General features: G+C 39.2%; 1 protein-coding gene across 1 annotated transcript in view; it reads right to left on the bottom strand.

Annotated features, from left to right (window-relative positions):
• Nucleotides 1-3,432: 3,432 nt before the first annotated feature.
• MYRFL (myelin regulatory factor like) overlaps nt 3,433-17,513 on the bottom strand; it is a 133,871-nt gene continuing 119,790 nt past the window's right edge. Inside the window, exons 20-25 of the mRNA NM_182530.3 lie at nt 10,355-10,417; nt 9,644-9,731; nt 7,093-7,167; nt 4,588-4,708; nt 4,207-4,281; nt 3,433-4,085 (exon numbers count right to left, since the gene is read on the bottom strand). Coding sequence (NP_872336.2) covers nt 3,999-4,085; nt 4,207-4,281; nt 4,588-4,708; nt 7,093-7,167; nt 9,644-9,731; nt 10,355-10,417 — 509 coding nt within the window. The 3' untranslated portion in view covers nt 3,433-3,998. The remainder of the gene's footprint in view (nt 4,086-4,206; nt 4,282-4,587; nt 4,709-7,092; nt 7,168-9,643; nt 9,732-10,354; nt 10,418-17,513) is intronic.

The following is a 17,513-nucleotide window of genomic DNA, read 5'->3' as shown; positions in this document are numbered from 1 at the left end:
TACTTTGATGACCTGAAGTTAAATATAGTACCTATTTTTCATGCTTGAACTTATCCCTACGTTATTACAAATGGCACCTGGTAGCAGGATGTGATTTTTCAGCCCAGCTCTTATGAACCTTTTTCTGAGTTTTTAAAAAATAACCTTTTTATTTTAGAGCAGTTTTAGATTTACAGAAAAATTGCAAAGATAATTGTACACAGGGTTCCCATCAACCTCACACCCAGTTTCCCCTATTGTTAACATCTCACATGAGTGTGGTACATTTGTCACAATTAATGAGACAATATTGATAAATTATTATTAACTCAAGTCCATGCTTTACTTAATACTTCTTTCAGATTTCCTTAGTTTTTACCTAATGTCCTTTTCCAGTTCCAAGATCCCATCCAGGACACCACATTACATTTAATCATCATGTCACCTTAAGCTCCTCTCGGCGGTGACAGTTTCTCACTTTCCTTGTTTTTGTTGTTGTTGTTGTTGTTGTTGTTTTTGGTTTTGGTTTTTTTGTTTTTTTGTTTTGAGACTGAGTTTCACTCTTGTTGCCCAGGCTGAAGTGCAATGGCATGACCTCGGCTCATTGCAACCTCCACCTCCCAGGTTCAAGCGTTTCTCCTGCTTCAGCCTCCCGAGTAGCTGGGATTACAGGCACGCACCACCACGCCTGGCTTATTTTGTACTTTTAGTAGAGACAGGGTTTCTCCGTGTGGGTCAGGCTGGTCTGGAACTCCTGACCTCAGGTGATCCGCCCACCTCGGCCTCCTAACGTTCTGGGATTACAAGCGTGAGCCACCGTTCCCAGCCCAACTTTCCTTGTTTTTGATGACCTTGATTGACACTTGAAGAATGCTCATCAGATATTTTGTAGAATACCCCTCAGCTGGGATTTGTCTGGTGTTTTTCTCATGATTAGCATTGGGTTATAAGTTTCTGGGAGGAGACTGTTACAGACACTTTAATTTACTTGATTTTGAGGATATTCCAGTAGAGAGTAGAAAATTCTCTGGCATAAAAGGAAAGTCTTGTGGCCTGAAGCAGTGTGGTCCACAGTGAATATCTCACAGCTGGAAAAGTACTGCAAATACAAAGAGAATCTTCCAGCAAAGTCTGTTCTCCCAATAGACCTAACTAATCCCAGCATGTCACAGGTTGCCATAGATCTATTCACTATCTTAAATCCTTCCTTTCTGAAGGCTTTCAACACAATTTCCTATAGAAGTTTTTCTGTAGGAAAATACTTCCAGTCTTTTAATGGAATTTAATGAGAAAATGGCACTCATTTTATGGAAATCCCTTTATAGGCAATATTTCTGAACTACATTAGATATCTGAAACCCACCATATTATCCCAAGCTTAAGTGCATAAATAAGAACGTGGGATTTATGTGCCAAAAAGATCACTTGTAATTCTGCAGCTGACAAACATTCCTTTACTAGGAGAAGAGTCAAATTAATGGAATCTCTCCCACATCAACCACTTAGGATCCCATTTTTAAATGGTGCTACAACTACAGTATCTAGACCTAAGTCATGCTAGGACAGGCTGACACTACAGCTTAGGAGAACCAAGTTTGAATCTGAATCTAAGAAACTAGAGGGATCCTGAAATGCTCCTCCCGAGAATTTAACTACTTTATTCCATTTTCTACAAAAGTTATGCTATTAGTATTAATAAAAGGGAAAATAATTTTCCAAATATAGGTGGCCAAGTGCAGTGGTTCAGGCCTGTAATCTCAACACTTTGGGAGGCCAAGGAAGGAGGGGATCACTTGAGACCAGGAGTTTGAGATGAGACTGTACAACATAGTGAGGCCCTGTCTCTATTAAAAAAAAAAAAAAAGTTAGCTGGGCATTGGTGACATGTACCTGTCATCTTAGCTACTTGGGCTGAGGTAAAAGGATTTCTTGAGCCTAGGAGTTCAAGGCTGCAGTGAGATATGATCACTCCACTATACTCCAACCAGGAAAACAGAGTGAGACCATGTTTCTAAAAAAAAACAATACAAATAAGTTTAAAAGAAAAAATATAAACATTATATGATATACATATATATGGTTCTGTCTACAATTTAGGTTTTTTTATTTTGTTTTGTTTTTTTAAGATGGAGTTTCACTCTTGTTGCCCAGGCTGGAGTGCAATGGCGTGATCTCGGCTCACTGCCTCCTGGGTTCAAGCAATTCTCCTGCCTCAGCCTCCCAAGTAGCTGGGATTACAGGCACCCACCACCACGCCTGGCTAATTTTTGTATTTTTAGTAGAGACGGGGTTTCACCATCTTGGCCAGGCTGGTCTTGAACTCCTGACCTCAGGTGATCCACCCGCCTTGGCCTCCCTAAATGCTGGGATTACAGGTGTGTAATCCCACTGCACGCGGCCTACAATTTAGTTTTTATAGTTGTTGAAAATGCCTTGATATATGTGTATTTACTCAATCCCTTTATAATCCCACTGTAATCTTTATAATTATTCTGTTCTATGAAGATATAACAATAACAGCTCACATTTATTTAGAACGTGTTCTATGGAGCTATAACAATAACACCTCACCTTTATTTAGAACCTATCATCATCTGTGCTTTACATACATTATCTCATTTAATCCTGTCTGTGGCAAATATTCACTATCTTCTATAAGTGAAGAAATTGCAACTTACGGAAATTAGATAACTTGCCTAAAGATACACGGATAAAATCATGATTTGAACTCAAGACTAAGCTAAGACCATCTGGCTTCAGAATCTCAGCTCTTAATAACTGGGTAAACAACCTTTGTGTTAATATGTTTATTTTAAAATGCCTTCTGTGAGAGCAAGAACCATATCTTTTCTTAATAATTGTTGGGGTCTCACAATTAATTTCCATCCATATGGCGCATATTTAATAATAGCTGAAAATAAGGAAGAGGATGTTTTATTGCTGCTGATTACCTCTGTGACGCTAAAAAAAAAATCAAATTTCTTATCCTAATTGACCCAGAGACCAACAATGAGATAAGGCAAAGCCAGCCATTCAGCGTCCCTGTTACCTGGAACTACAGTGATGGTGGCTTGGGTCTCCATTTTCTAAAAAATAGTGTATTAATAGAAAATTTGAGGTATAAGACCAGCAGATGAGGAGATAATTGCCATCCAAATGATAGTTTGTTACTCACAGTCCCCAAGACAAGGGGGCATGGCATGGCAGAGGGAGCCACCTGGGGAAGCCCTGGGAACAGTCAGGAGGCAGAGGGAGAAGGAGGAACTGCAGACATGACCCTTAATTGTGGTAATCTGAGGGAAGGAACAGGTGAGGCAGAGTAAGCAGGCTTAGGACTGGCTAGTTTGATTCATTTCAGTGCGCTCTGGGGTATAGGAGTTTCCATCTTTACAAGGGGGCATACCCTACCCACACAGTTTAGTGTCCATCAAGCATTGCAAAGCAGAGTTGCAATTATTTCTCTTAAATCCATTTGATTAACAAACTACATTCTGTACTCTAGTGTATGTGTTTATACAATACACACACACATAGGACAATTTGCCTAAATGTGAGCTCAGTATCAGATACCACCCCCCACATCTCCTCCACATACCATATCACACATTCTCAAGAGTCTATGTTTAGTGGGCCGAAGTCGACATGGCCCTTTTGGTTTTTTCAAAAGCTTTAAAATACATTAAAACAAAATAGAGGCTAGATCTCCTTATTTTGAGCTCACAACTTCCTTAATACCAGAAATAATAGTATTTTTAAATTCAACAGAACTGTTTGCTCCAGGAAATGTTTTCTTCATAGTCATGGCAAAATCAAACATCACATTATTTCAAGTTTCAGCAAACATTTTATTCTCCTCATTAATGTCTCAAAACTGTTGGAAGCTAAAGCCTGAAAAAGTCCTTCAGCAATAAACGTAAATGTTTTACAAAGAAGAAAAAAGAAGTTGCAAGAGGATGTTCGTTTCTGTTAAATGTATTCCTGAGTATTTTTCTTTGGTAAAGTCCCCAAACTTGAACAAATTAGGCACAGCGTCGATAGAAGTAAAAGAAGTAATCGGTGAAGAATATCCCAGCAAAATAAGGATCAGTTGAACAGTCAGCTAAATCCTGTCAGAAAAGGAGAAAAAAAAAAAGGAAGATTAATGTAAAAATTAACTGTGGTTAAAGTGATTTTTTTTTATTGCTCAATTTCTTTCTCACTGAAAAGAAAAAGAAAAAGCAAGCTTACCGGTGCAGCTACACGGAAATGGAACATGCTGTCAGAAAATGGGGCTACAGGGAGGCTCCAAATGTGCTGATATCCCTAAATAGTGAATAAAAGAGGATCCATTTCGTACACGCATTTGACAGTCAGTAGGAAAGAGTACAGGCTGAAAAAGCATTTCCTCAATGACTGTAGGAGAAGTATTGGGATCACAGCTTTTGATGGGTGTTGCTAGAACAGTCCTAGCAACAGAACAGAAGTTGCCTTAGAAGGCAACTTCATAAGGACACAAGGAAGAGGCTGAGCCAAGCCCTGTGACTAGGGTTGGCCAGGGAGGGAAAACACTGGCAATTTGCTCAATGTATCCCTCTCTCAGCGGGGAAGAGAGGAGGCAGAAAACATTACCTGTGTCATCTCCTGGGAGATTTCTCTGTGGCTTTCCAGCCCTTTGGTTCCCCTTTTACTATGGAAACATATATTTCCAAGGGTGAATTTGCACTGGAAGACTATCAATGGCTCTGTTGTGCTTCAAGAGACAAAGAAAAGAAAGAGCACCTGAAAAAGCAGTTACCAGCTTCTACTAGGATACATCTTGATAAGAGGAGGATCTAATGGGAACGTAACTTGGAAATCCATTCAAAGTTCACAATAGGCATTGTATCACACAAAGCTCACCGATGCCAATAGGCCAGCTCACATCTCATTACTACAAAAGGAAACCCAATCTCAGATAGCTATCGAAATAGTATATGATGGTTTCTTTTTTTCTTTCTTTTCTATTTTTTTATAGAGACAAGATCTCGCTATGTTGCCCAGGCTGGTTCCAACTCCTGGGCTCAAGCAACCCTAACGCCTCGGCCACCCAAAGTGCTGGGATTACAGACGTTAGCCTGGCTGTGTATGATAGTTTTTAAAACCTAATCTTATGACTTATGTTGTCTCACATCAAAACTTATCTCCATATGTATTTTTTATAATTTTTGGATATATTCCTTCTCTTTCCACTGGCACTGAGTTTGCATTTATATGAAGCTTTCAGGATTTTTGATTTTGCAAATTCCGGGTCTAGGCAGATATTGTTTAAAATAAAAAGGCAAATAAATACAGGTAGGAGTTTGGGAGTGAGTCCTACCAGAAATCACTAGATTTTAAAGCTATCAGAGTTGAAAGTCTGCCAGAAAGTACGGTTCTTCTTCTCTGGAGGTTGGCCCCATTAATCATCATCAAGAGGATGAGATCTATTTGTCTTTGGGAACAATCCTTTTGCACAAGTTGGGGCAACCTACAATCTCAGTTGAGTATGTATGTTATTTTTAAGTCATCCATTTTACGAAAAATGGTTTGTAAACTAAAAGTCCTGATTTAGCAGCTCAAGGTGATCTGCCACTTCAGGGGATATAGCATATAACCTTATTTCCTTCCACTAAAAGCTAGAGATGAATAAGAAAATGTTATTCCAGGTTACTCAAGGAGTGCTAGATAATAGCACTTTCAGTTTATAAGAATAGTACATTTAGCTTTTGCTCTGCCTTGAAATATGGTAGGTTCTGAGTCACAAAATATTAGCTGCTTAAAAGAAACCTTTCCAAGGCAAGCAGTTGGGTTGAGTGACATTGGTTCCTCACAGAGGCAAAGTTGATGAAAAAAAGAGTATGAAGACTGAATAAGACGGAGGAAGAGGCAGAAGGCGTGCGGTGAAGGATGGAGGAGGAAAACAGAGCTGGGCAAGCAGAGGGAGAGAGGGGAGGACAGAGGGAAGGGAAAGAGTGATAGAAAAGGAAGGGAAGAAGAAAGGAAATGTGGAGGGGGATGGAAAGGAGAGACTAAAATCAGGAGACACAAAAAACCATTTATCTTCATGGAAAGTAGCTCATTGCATAATTTTTTAGTGGAAAGTCTTTAAGTGCCATAATCATTTAAAATATCTGATAAGAATAGGTTAAGTTAGAGTTTTGTGATTTAGGAGGAAAGGTAGTCCTAATAAAAGCTACCATTTATTGTGTGCTTACTGTGTGTCAGGAAAGGGCAGTGTCCTTACATGTCTCATCTCACTGGGGAGGCAGGACAAGACAGTGATGGCTGAGAGGGTGGACTGAATTTGAAGCCCAGCTCCATCACTTACTACCTGTGATTTTCAGAATGTGTTTTTTTTTTTTTTTATGTGTCCTGAAACTCTAAACCCAAGTGTCCCAATCTCAAAAATATAAACTAAGAAAAAAAAACCAACCTGGGAGGGTTGCTGTGAGGATTTTATGACCCAGTATTAAAGTCTGGCATATAGTCTGTGCTCAGCAAATGGCAGTTATTAATTTCACCATTATTAATAATTCTCACAGCAGCTCTATGTGCTATGGTGTCATGTAATACTTATATTACAGATAAAGAAACAGTAGCTCAAAGAAGATAAGTGGCTTGTCCAAGATCACAGAATTAGTAAGTGACAGAATCCTTGGACCCTGGTCTGTCCAATTCCAAACTCTGGTTCCTTTTTTTTTTTTTTTCTGTCTTTTGGAAAATAGGAGTGGTGTCTGCATTAACATTGCTACTGGGAGCTGTGCATCTTCCCATCGGGGGGCATGTTATTACTCTTGTTGCCATTCCAATTCTCTCTCACCAAGTGAGAAAGTCAGGGGAAGTCTATAGCTTATGAGTATCAAACCAAAATCACTCCCACTTTGTAGGCATGGGTATAGAGGTTAGAGCCCTTCTATTCCCTGAAGAAAGCCTGGATGATCACAGCCCTCATTTTGAAAACCTTTCCTTCAAATAGGCCACCTCTCAAACCATCATTAGTTAACACAAACTGATAGCTTTCTGCCTCTTAACGACTGACCAAATTGTGAAGTAAATCCAGACTTCATATTCAACTAATGATAAAAATGAAATTGTTTTTTACAGCCATGCACTTACTTTATTTCCAGAGAGAACTTGACATTGGTGGGTGTGTGTTTATTAACAGGAATATTGTAATTATAATTTCCAGATCTAATTATGGAAAGAAAATAAAACCACAAATCAAAATATGCAGGAAAGTCTTCGAAGGCCTTTTTGCTACTCATTATATACCATAAAAACTGTGAAATATTATATAGTAAATAATAAATATGGAAAACTGAGTTCAACCTGGTATCATTTTTTTGTTTTTAGGATATACCTGTCAAATTCAGAGTGATCTCTTTCAGGTCTTAATATAAAATATACCATAAAAAGTTATAGTTTTTTAGAACACACAGAAAAAAACAATGATGGAAAGTCAAATCCTAGACCAAGAAATGGCTTTTTCACACAGGAAATGACTTTAGTCCCCTTTAAAGAGACACAGATTTCTGAAGACAAATGAGGCAAAGCCCCAAACTAATAATGCCCCTAGAATAATAAATACATTTTTTCTACCCTAAATCACTCCCTTTTGAGCAACACTAGGAGGAAATATCAGGTACTTTTAGAATCTGAATCTGCTAAAATTGTTATAATTCTAATTACCATTTAGTAATGGAGAAGATTGCAAGACAAGTGCTTATACATAGATTCCCCCCACACCTTTAAGAGAGATACTTGGATAAAAGGGAAATTCCTTTGATTCGTATTGTAACGAAAAACTCCAGCAAAAAGACATATTGTCTCTAAAACAAGTTCTCCTTATTACCTGACCATCCCTTGAATTACATGGAAAAACAATTTAAAATCAGATCGATGGGAAAAAGAGTCAGTTATTTTATTTTTAAGTAATGCTAAACTAAGTTGCTAAAAAGGTAAAAAGCAAAAGTAAAGGAAATGGAAAGATCTTGCATTTTGCACTGGATAGGTATATTACAACAAAACGAAACATTATACATCTTGAATATAAACAATTTTTGCTTGTCAATTATACCTCAATACAGCTGAAAAAAATAAGAGTGCAACTTGCACACCAAATTGAGAACAGTGTTATTTCAGTGAATCAATGTACTTTTTAAAATAGAAAGATCTGCATTGGGATCAGGAGCAGTTTGTTTGACTAGGGGAAGCTTAGATAAATGGAATGCATTTCCTAAGATGTCTCTCCCATTATCTGCATGCTTCACAGCAACCCAACTCAGTTTTGAAAGTATCCCCATCTTATAGCTGAAAAATTGGTATTTGGGGAGAATAAACATCTTGTCAAAGAAGTTCTAGGACTTGAACTTGAATCATCTGACTCTTCACTATGTCATCTTACCACATTAATTAATAGCTGTATCTGCCACTTATAGGTGATCTTAGGCAAACTTTTTCAAGTTTAACTGAAATTTAACTACAAAACAGGGATACATTATACCAACTTCATGGGGATTTTGTGAGAATTCAATGAGATAATGAACATAGAGGTCATAAATCATAAAGCACCATACATGTTATTTTTATAACTCACAGCCATCAACTTGAAGCCCAGGTTATATCAGGTTGGAAAAGAAATGAGGCTGAAAACCCACAGGATTTGTGACACTAGTTCAGATTACAGGCCTTGCCTTTAATCTAGGAGGTGCCTAAGAAACAGTTATCAAATTAAGAAAAATAACTCCCCCATTCCGTGTGTGTGTGTGTGTGTGTGTGTGTGTGTGTGTCCGGGTTGCACTTTGTCATCCAGGCTGGAGTACAGTGGTGCAAACACACAGCTTACTGCAGCCTCGACCTCCTGGGCTCAAAAGATCCTCCCACCAATTAGCTGGGACCACAGGTGTGTGCCATCATGCCCAGCTAATATTTTGTTTGTTTGTTTGTTTGGAGAGACAGGATCTCATCATGTTGCCCAGGCTGGTCTTGACCTTTAACTCGGCTCAAGCAGTCCTTCTGCCTCAGCCTCCCAAAGTGCTGAAACTACAGGCGTGAGCCACCACGCCCAGCCCTCTCCATTCTTAATCCCTACAACTGGCACACTGTACTCTTTGAAGCAACTTGCACCCTCTGCTTCTAGAAGTATCATTACCTTGATACAGGTGATAAGGCATACACTGGAGATGGATGTCCCGATAACTTTTGCCATATCTGATTTTTTCCTCCTATCTGAAAAGCTAAGTTATATTTTTTCAGCAATTAAAATGATATCCCTTGTTATTAAAATATACAAATGTCACCTCACTTGTAACTTGGAGCCATGAGCAACAATGTCTTTCTTGTCTATAAAATTAACTGGCAGCTCTGTGCCCTTGATATGTGCCCTCAGAGAGTCAGCAACAGAGCTGCTCCCTAGGCTTTCTGCTTTGGACCCATCCATTAAACCAGGAGACGGGAATCACTAGGGCCGTGGCTTATTGACATTTGCTAATACCAACTGTTTTATGATTCTTTCTCCCACCATGTAATAAAGATGTTTTCACTTAAGGAGCAATGTAAGCACACATTGATTTTATCATGTAGCTTTAGCTTCCACTGCAGTCTTAAAAACCCAGAGCCATGGGTAAATTCCAGAAACAACCAGGGCATGCTGGGGAGGCTTACCTACCCGCACTGGAGGCTTTGAATGCAATACTGATGATCTATTATTTGCTGGATTTCCATAATCTGAATAGAACTGATGGTTGTATCAATCCCTGAATTGAGAAGAAATAGACAAAGTAAATAAACTCTTCTGAAAGGAAAAAGAATATTGTATTCCAGCCACAGTCCTCAAATTACAGAATGGGAAGTAAGAGTTTCCCAGGTCAAGAGATTCCATTTGTATTCAAATGGAAAACAAACAGGAGGAAAAGGAAGGGGAGAAGGCTTTTTGGGGGGTTATAGTACCTATTAGAAAAACTAATAAAAACTCAGGCTCCAATAAACATCCCCTATAACATTCAAAAGAATTTCTGGACCATGGAAGTCCTACTAAATCAAAATTTATTGAAAATGGAGGTGCAACATGAAATGCAATCTGTTTCAGAAAACAGAAGACAAACTAAAAATGTAGTCAGAATAGAAGAGGTCAGGAAGTTCAAATAAATTATGAACATCCATGGAGATCAACCACAACTTGTCTGACAGTGAGTGACCATTTCTAATGCCTCATTAGTGGTTAGGGTGGCATCGATTATAACACACAGTCCCATGGATATGCGTGGCAGGCAGGCTGCAGCCTTTGTCCCTGCTCCTCACTCCAGCAATGCTTTTACAACTTGTTAGTTGGCCTGGCCCCGCAAAGCCAAAGAATAGTGTCACTTAAATGTCAACTTACAGTCACTCTCCCAGTCAGGGCCGCTGAGTGCATTTCTTGCCAAAACTGATTTGCTTTTGTCTTCTGAAAAGGAAACAAGTCTGTCAATCTTGAAGGCTTGTTCAGGAGAAGAGAAGAAACCCCATGTGTGACCTAGTTCATCTCTGTGAGTTGAGTGTTCCCCCACCCTTTCTGTCTCCCATCCTTCAACTCATCTAATCTCTATCCTGTTTCTTATAGATCTAGTTTATTCTCCTCCTTCTGCAAGAAGTCATCTGTTATGGACTAAATTGGGTCCCCTTCCCAGCTACCAAATTCAAATGCATATAGTGAAGCCTTATCCCCCAGTACCTCAGAATGTGACTGTTTGTTGATAGGGCCTTTAAAGCAGTGATTAAGTTAAAAATAGGCTGTCAGGGTGGGTTCTAATACAATCTGACCTGTGTCCGTGTAAGAGCAGAAGATTAGGAGCCAGGCATGGTGGCTCACGCCTGTAATCCCAGCACTCTGGGAGGCCAAGGCGGGCAGATCACTTGAGGTTGGGAGTTCAAGACCAGCCTGGCCAACATGGTGAAACCCTGTCTCTACTAAAAAATATAAAATTAGCCAGGCATGGTGGTGCATGCCTCTAATCCCAGCTACTCGGGAGGCTGAGGCAGGAGAATCACTTGAACCTGGGAGGCGGAGGTTGTGGTGAGCCGAGATTGCGCCATTGCACTCCAGCCTGGACAACAAGAGTGAAACTCCATCTCAAAAAAAAAAAAAAAAAAAAAGCAGGTTAGGACACACAGGGAGACCCTAGGGCTACGTGTGCACAGAGGAAAGACCATCTGAAGACACAGCAAGTTGACAGTCATCTGCAGACCAAGGAGAGAAGCCTCAGAAGAAATCAGACCTGCTGACACCTTGGTCTTGGACTTCCAGCCACCAGAACTGTGAGAAAATAATTATCTGTGGTTTAAGCCACCCAGTCAGTGGTATTCTGTTACGACGGCAAAGTGGACTAAGAAACTATCCCCAACTAGGTCTGCAGCTCACAGATCCCTCCTTTCCAATGCCATAGCACTTATTACTGAACCATCAATGCAGTCATCAATCAGTGATATATCTGTCACCATACTGAAGGGCATATTACCTCTGTATTATTACTTAACTTTTCATGTATTTTTGCCTTTCCTGACAATTCCAGAATAGGGAATGTCTACTAATATTCTTTGAATCCTCTGTAACCCCTGCCATAATGTCTTGCTCAATCTATGGAAACTGTCTTTCTTTGATTAATGACAAGCTAATGATAGTTTTATTTCCTATCTAGTTTGTGAATGAACATTGTTAATTGAAATTATTATCTTTAGATTATCTGGATTCTTTTTTATCCATCTTAGTATTGCTATCTCAGAATCACACACGCTAATGTAAAAAAAGAAATAAATAACCAAGGAATCTCTGTTTGAACACCTCCAGTGACAAGGGACTCACTGCCCATTCTTCTGCTGGGCAATGCTAAATACCAGTTTTCCCTTCTACTGAGCTAGCATCTGCCTTCCTGTTGATCTTCTTTTGATCCTGATACTACTTCTCGAGTGAGTATAACAGGCCCTAAAGTCAACTTCTCTGCTCAACTGAAGCCTGGCTCATATGAAGTTGCAAAGGAGTAGGGACATACTCATTAGTCATATTTATTTTTCTGAGTGAAAGCAAAGGCTATGAAAAAATATAACATTTGGACACTAGCAAGGAGAAAGAACTACTCCTGGAGATCCCAGGAGAAAGCATGGAGATAGGAGATGGACTGTTTCATAGAATAATCCCTTTAGAGTTGAGTCCAGGTAGCACCACGGCCTAGCATCAAATGTATATTGGTCCCTATTGATTTTTCAACCCTGCCTACTTCTGTGACCTCTCTGCTGCTTAACATATCCTGTTAAAATAGAGAATAGGTCCAAGGGCAGTGGAGAGAGTGGGTAAAAATGAAGAAAAATAGGAGCAAAACTATCCCTACAGTAAAATAATGAAACGTTAACCTTCTTCATACAAGTAGAGTTTGTGGTCTCTAAAGATAAGCAAAACTTATAAAAAAAAAAATTGAGCATGCTTTCCCAATTGCTTAATAACTTGAACATGAAATGTTAGAGGAAATTCTGTGGGACATATATTTTTGCACTGAAGGATAACAATGATAATTACACCTACTATTTGTTAACACCTACTCTTCATTGAACATTGTTCTGAGTGCCTTACAAAAGTCCAAGAGTGAGGTTATCCCCGCTTGACAGATAAGCTAAGTGAGGCACTAAGGACTCAGCTTGTGGATAGGAATAAAGAGTTTCCAATTCAAACCATCTAATTCCAGAGTCCACAATTTTGCTATTCTGGGAAAATGTGAAATGTGATCCATGTAGGAAAAAAATTGAGCTTAAAGTCTAAGGCAGGGGTGTCCAGTCTTCTGGCTTCCCTAGGCCACACTGGAAGAAGAATTGTCTTGGGCCACACATAAAATACACTAACACTAATGATAGCTGAAGGGCTAAAAAAAAAAAAAATTACAAAAAAAAAATCTCATAATGTTTTAAGAAAGTTTACAAATTTGTGCTGGGCCACATTCAAAGCCGTCCTGGGCCGCATGTGGCCGGCCCATGGGCCGCGGGTTGGACAAGCTTGGTCTAAAGTAAGGCCTGAGATGCAGCCAGCTGAAGGGAGGAATCAGGCTGCTGGTGTGGGGCCAGAGCAGGCTTGCAGGGAGGGAGCCCAGGGAGTGGCTAGGCTCCTGTCATCACCCAAAAGGCATTTTAAATGCAATTTTGGAAAGGTAACCATTCAGATGAATGTTGTTAAGGCTATATTTTTAATGTATCTTTTTAAAGTAGATAGTGAAAGCAATCATTTAGTGGGTCGCTAAGTACACCTAACAAAATAACTTTATGAAGTTTTGGCAGTCTTTTTTTTTTTTTTAATTTGCAGATTTAGATCTATGTTCAAGTTTCAGGATAGAAAGCAAAAGCAACAGTACACAATACTTGGGGACAATCACTCCTAAACATCCCTATCCTGGTTACAACTCCTTTCACTAGGTGGAATGACTAGTTTACTTACCCATTCACCTAACTGTGAGCTCCTTGAAGACTACATCCTGTTCACTGTTGTATCCCAGATAGGGTAATGCTGGGCTCACAGTGGTGCTCAATGAATATGGGTGAAAGGATGGAAGGAAGAGAGCCAGGGAAAGAGTAAGGAAAAGAAGAGGGAAGACCAATTTAACCTCCAAAAAACTTTCCTCTTACACATTCACAGGGAAAGTTCCCAGGGGAAGGGTGCAGAGGGATGCTGAGAAAGAACATGGGAAGCTAGACTCCTTATTCTATTAGCAAAAGGAAGCAAGACAGAACTGGAAGGCAGGGCAAGTTTCTGAACCCAACATGGTGCTTTCCATTAAGAAGAAATGGGTCCTGATATATGAGGAGTTTCTAGAAAATTGAATATTTATTTTCCTTTACAAGTAAACACATATGCTGCCAAAAAGTCCTCCAGATTTCTTGGATTCTAGCTATTCCAGTAATAATTTTCAAACACGTCTCTACTATTAGTTTTGCTTAAGACTGCTTCCACAGAAGGTTGTAAATTTACAACGCAAATGAGGCATAAAGAGAAGTGGAAACCAGGACTTCTCTATCCTGTGTGTTTTCTTCTCCTACCTTTTGTCCTACTTGCCTGCTGAATTTGCAGAAAAAGAGCTCGTTATAAATTCTGGCAACAGAACTACAGATTTGTCTTCTTCCACAGAACTGTGTTTTCAGGTCCTGGAGACATAGAACCCTATGAATACAATTGAGTACCTGGTGGGGTAAGGTTTTTTTTAAAAAACAGCAATAAATAGGTGGGAATGAGGAAAGATAATCTTGCAGATCAGAATTATAAAAATGATTTTTCAAACGCAAGAAATAAGATTTAAATCTCCCATAAAACACCTTCCATTTGACACTTCTCTGAAACAAGACTATTTGACTCTGAAAGGCTGGTTATAAGAAACCCATAAATCTTCCAGTAGTCATACAGGAAGTCATAAAGTCATACTTTCAGCACCTTCTAGGGTTGATCTCATTTTACAAATGCCTTCCAGTGATATTCATTATAAGCTTCATATAGTACATCCCCTGCAGTTTTCATTATAAAGTTGGAGATATATTTCACAATTGGTAGATGAGCTCTCCCAACAAACTAAATTAGAAACTTCTGGAGAGTAAAGATTTAGGATGGTGCCCAAAAAAAGCATACTCCTGTCATGGTAGAAGGTGTATATTGCACTACTTGTAAGACTGTGTTGTACTTGTACTGGCTGAGTCCAGTACAGCATCTTGGATACATTTCTCTTCCCTTCACTGAACCAGACTCATGCACTATGAAGAAGCCAATGAGCCCCACCAGTCGATGGCTGAGTTCTTTAAAATGGGGGACCATTTTCTTCTGGCCATTCACTTTTCTCAGAGTCATGGTCTCCAAAACAAAATGAGCATGAATTCCAGATTTTTAAAAAATCTTCACCAACTCTAATATATTCTATAGAATTCCATAGATGCTTTTCTCCACAGGCTCTTTACTTTTTAATATCTAACTCTCCTGTCTACTTAAATCTTTACTGGTTCCATGGATTAAAATCTAATTCATCACATTCAGATGGTTCCTTAGAGTAGAAGCTCAATATTCCAAAATACTCACTTTCCACTTCCTGATTAGCCTTACCCAAACTTTTTATTAAGTGAGGGGGAGAGGGAGAGATAACCTTTCTGAAAGACACTTTACACAGATATGATCAACTTTGGCCCAAAAGAAGAATAATGACATGAGCTCAGCATGTCATAAAAATGTTGATTTCCCTTCACTTATTTTATTATAGTCTTACTCCTCAGGGAGGAGGCTCATAAATGTGTTTAGGGGTTTAGTAAACTGTTAGATATTACTCTGCATCCCACTGAGAGCTTTTCTAAGTTTTTTTTGTTACTCTTGAATTTCTTTTTTATTTTTATTCCTTAATTTTTAATTGGTCTTTAATGCTTTAGAAACATCTGGCTGAAAAGAATACTTTCCTAGACTTCTCCTCTTTTGTATTTAGAAGCCTGGTGTTATACAGTACCTTGAACAGAGGGGAAGAGTAAACCAGCAGCAGAAGAGAAGAGGCTTTGCTCAGACTCCAAAATATCCCACATCAGGGACATTGCAATGGACAGAGGCAAACTTGCCAGGAGGAGGCAGAAGGGGCCATAGAGTGGATACTTTCTGCACCTTCTAGAGTTGATCTCAGGTACATGCACAGCCCATGTCCAAATCAATGGAGGCAGGATAGCAAATGGGAAGGAATCCAGGACAGGGAAGTGGGGGACCCAGATTTCAATTCCAACTTTTCTAGAAACTCAACTGAGGAATCTTAAGCAAGGTCCAGTGCCTCCATTTCATCAGCTGCAAAATGGGTAATTTGGTATAAATCAGCAGTTCTCCTGACATGGGGTCCTTGGAACCTTGGGTGATTGCATAAAGGGGTCTGTGGTGTTGTCTGTAGACTTGAAAAGCAACATATCTCCTATAGATTTGTACTATTTTTCAAACGCCACTGTTGGAGTAATAAAAACAATTCAGTTAAAAGCTTAACTGAACTTATAGTTACATTTGTTCTTTATGTATTTTCTCAATCACATCATTGTAAAAGTAGGCTTATAGTGGATTCTCGGGGCCAAAAAGTCAGGTGCCACTTGCGTAGCTGTTCTCTGAGATTCTGTGACTAAATTTCCAAAAGTTTTTGGGTTTTCTGAAGACAAAAGTGAATCAAACATTTGAATTCTTTCCATTTTTCTCCAGTTGACAAAAGGAAGAGATAACAACTTTCCCAGTGTATCACAGAGCCTAGTAAGGCACAACATAAATTTCATTTGTAGTCAAAGAAGCAGTTAGTTCTGTCTAGGTGGACACAGCCTGGCACCATGGAGCAAATTTTCTTTCCTTGGGAATCACTTCTTTCTTTAGAAGTTTACATAGCTATAGAAACAAGATGAGCAGACACTCATCTTGTTTCTAGGCTACTGCTTTTAGGGGAACATTTCTAAAAACAATAATAAATTAGTATACATTTGGAAGAATTGTATATAATCTTATGGACATGATTACACTTGTAGCCCTTGATTAAGTTTCTATAATTTTTTTTTTTTTTTTTTTTTTTTTTTTGAGACGGAGTCTCGCTCTGTCGCCCAGGCTGGAGGGCAGTGGCGGGATCTCGGCTCACTGCAAGCTCCGCCTCCCGGGTTCACGCCATTCTCCTGCCTCAGCCTCCCAAGTAGCTGGGACTACAGGCGCCCGCCACTACGCCCGGCTAATTTTTTGTATTTTTAGTAGAGACGGGGTTTCACCGTTTTAGCCAGGATGGTCTCGATCTCCTGACCTCGTGATCCGCCCGCCTCGGCCTCCCAAAGTGCTGGGATTACAGGCGTGAGCCACCGCGCCCAGCCTATAATTTTTTTAACATGAAAATTCTGTATTGTCACAGAGAGCAACGAGCCTTGATCTGGTTTAATAAGGGCTATTCTTCCCAATACAGTCATGCATTGCTTAACTACATGATGCTGTGAAATATGTCATTAGGCAATTTCACTGTTGTACAAACATCACAAAGTGTACTTCACAAACCTAGATTGTATAGCCTACTACACACCTAGGCTATATTGCTTCTTGGCTGCAAACCTGTACAGCATGTTACTGTAAATACTGTTGGCAATTGTAACACAATGGTAAGTATTTGTGTATCTAAATATTTCTAAATGTAGAAAGGGTACAGTAAAAAATAAAGTATAAAAGACAAAAACTAGTCCACCTGTGTAGGGAATTTACCATGAATGGAGCTTACAGGGCTGGAAGTTGCTCTGAGTCAATCAGTGAGTGAGCGGTGAGTGAATCTGAAGGCCTGGGACACTACTGTAAACTTTATAAACACCATATATTTAGGCTATACTAAATTTATTTTTAAAATTTTCTTTCTTCTAATTAACCTTAGCTTGCTATAACTTTTTTACTTTATAAACTTCTAAATTTTAAAAAACTTTTTGACTCTTGTAATAACACTTAGCTTAAAACACAAACACATTGTACAGCTGTACAAAGATATTTTCTTTCTTTATATCTTTATTTTAATTTTTTTTCA

Source organism: Homo sapiens, chromosome 12 (genome assembly GCF_000001405.40).
Source record: "Homo sapiens chromosome 12, GRCh38.p14 Primary Assembly".
Lineage (NCBI taxonomy): Eukaryota > Metazoa > Chordata > Mammalia > Primates > Hominidae > Homo > Homo sapiens.
The sequence above is the reverse complement of the archived record's forward strand: the minus strand, read 5'-3'. Positions and strand labels throughout refer to the sequence as shown.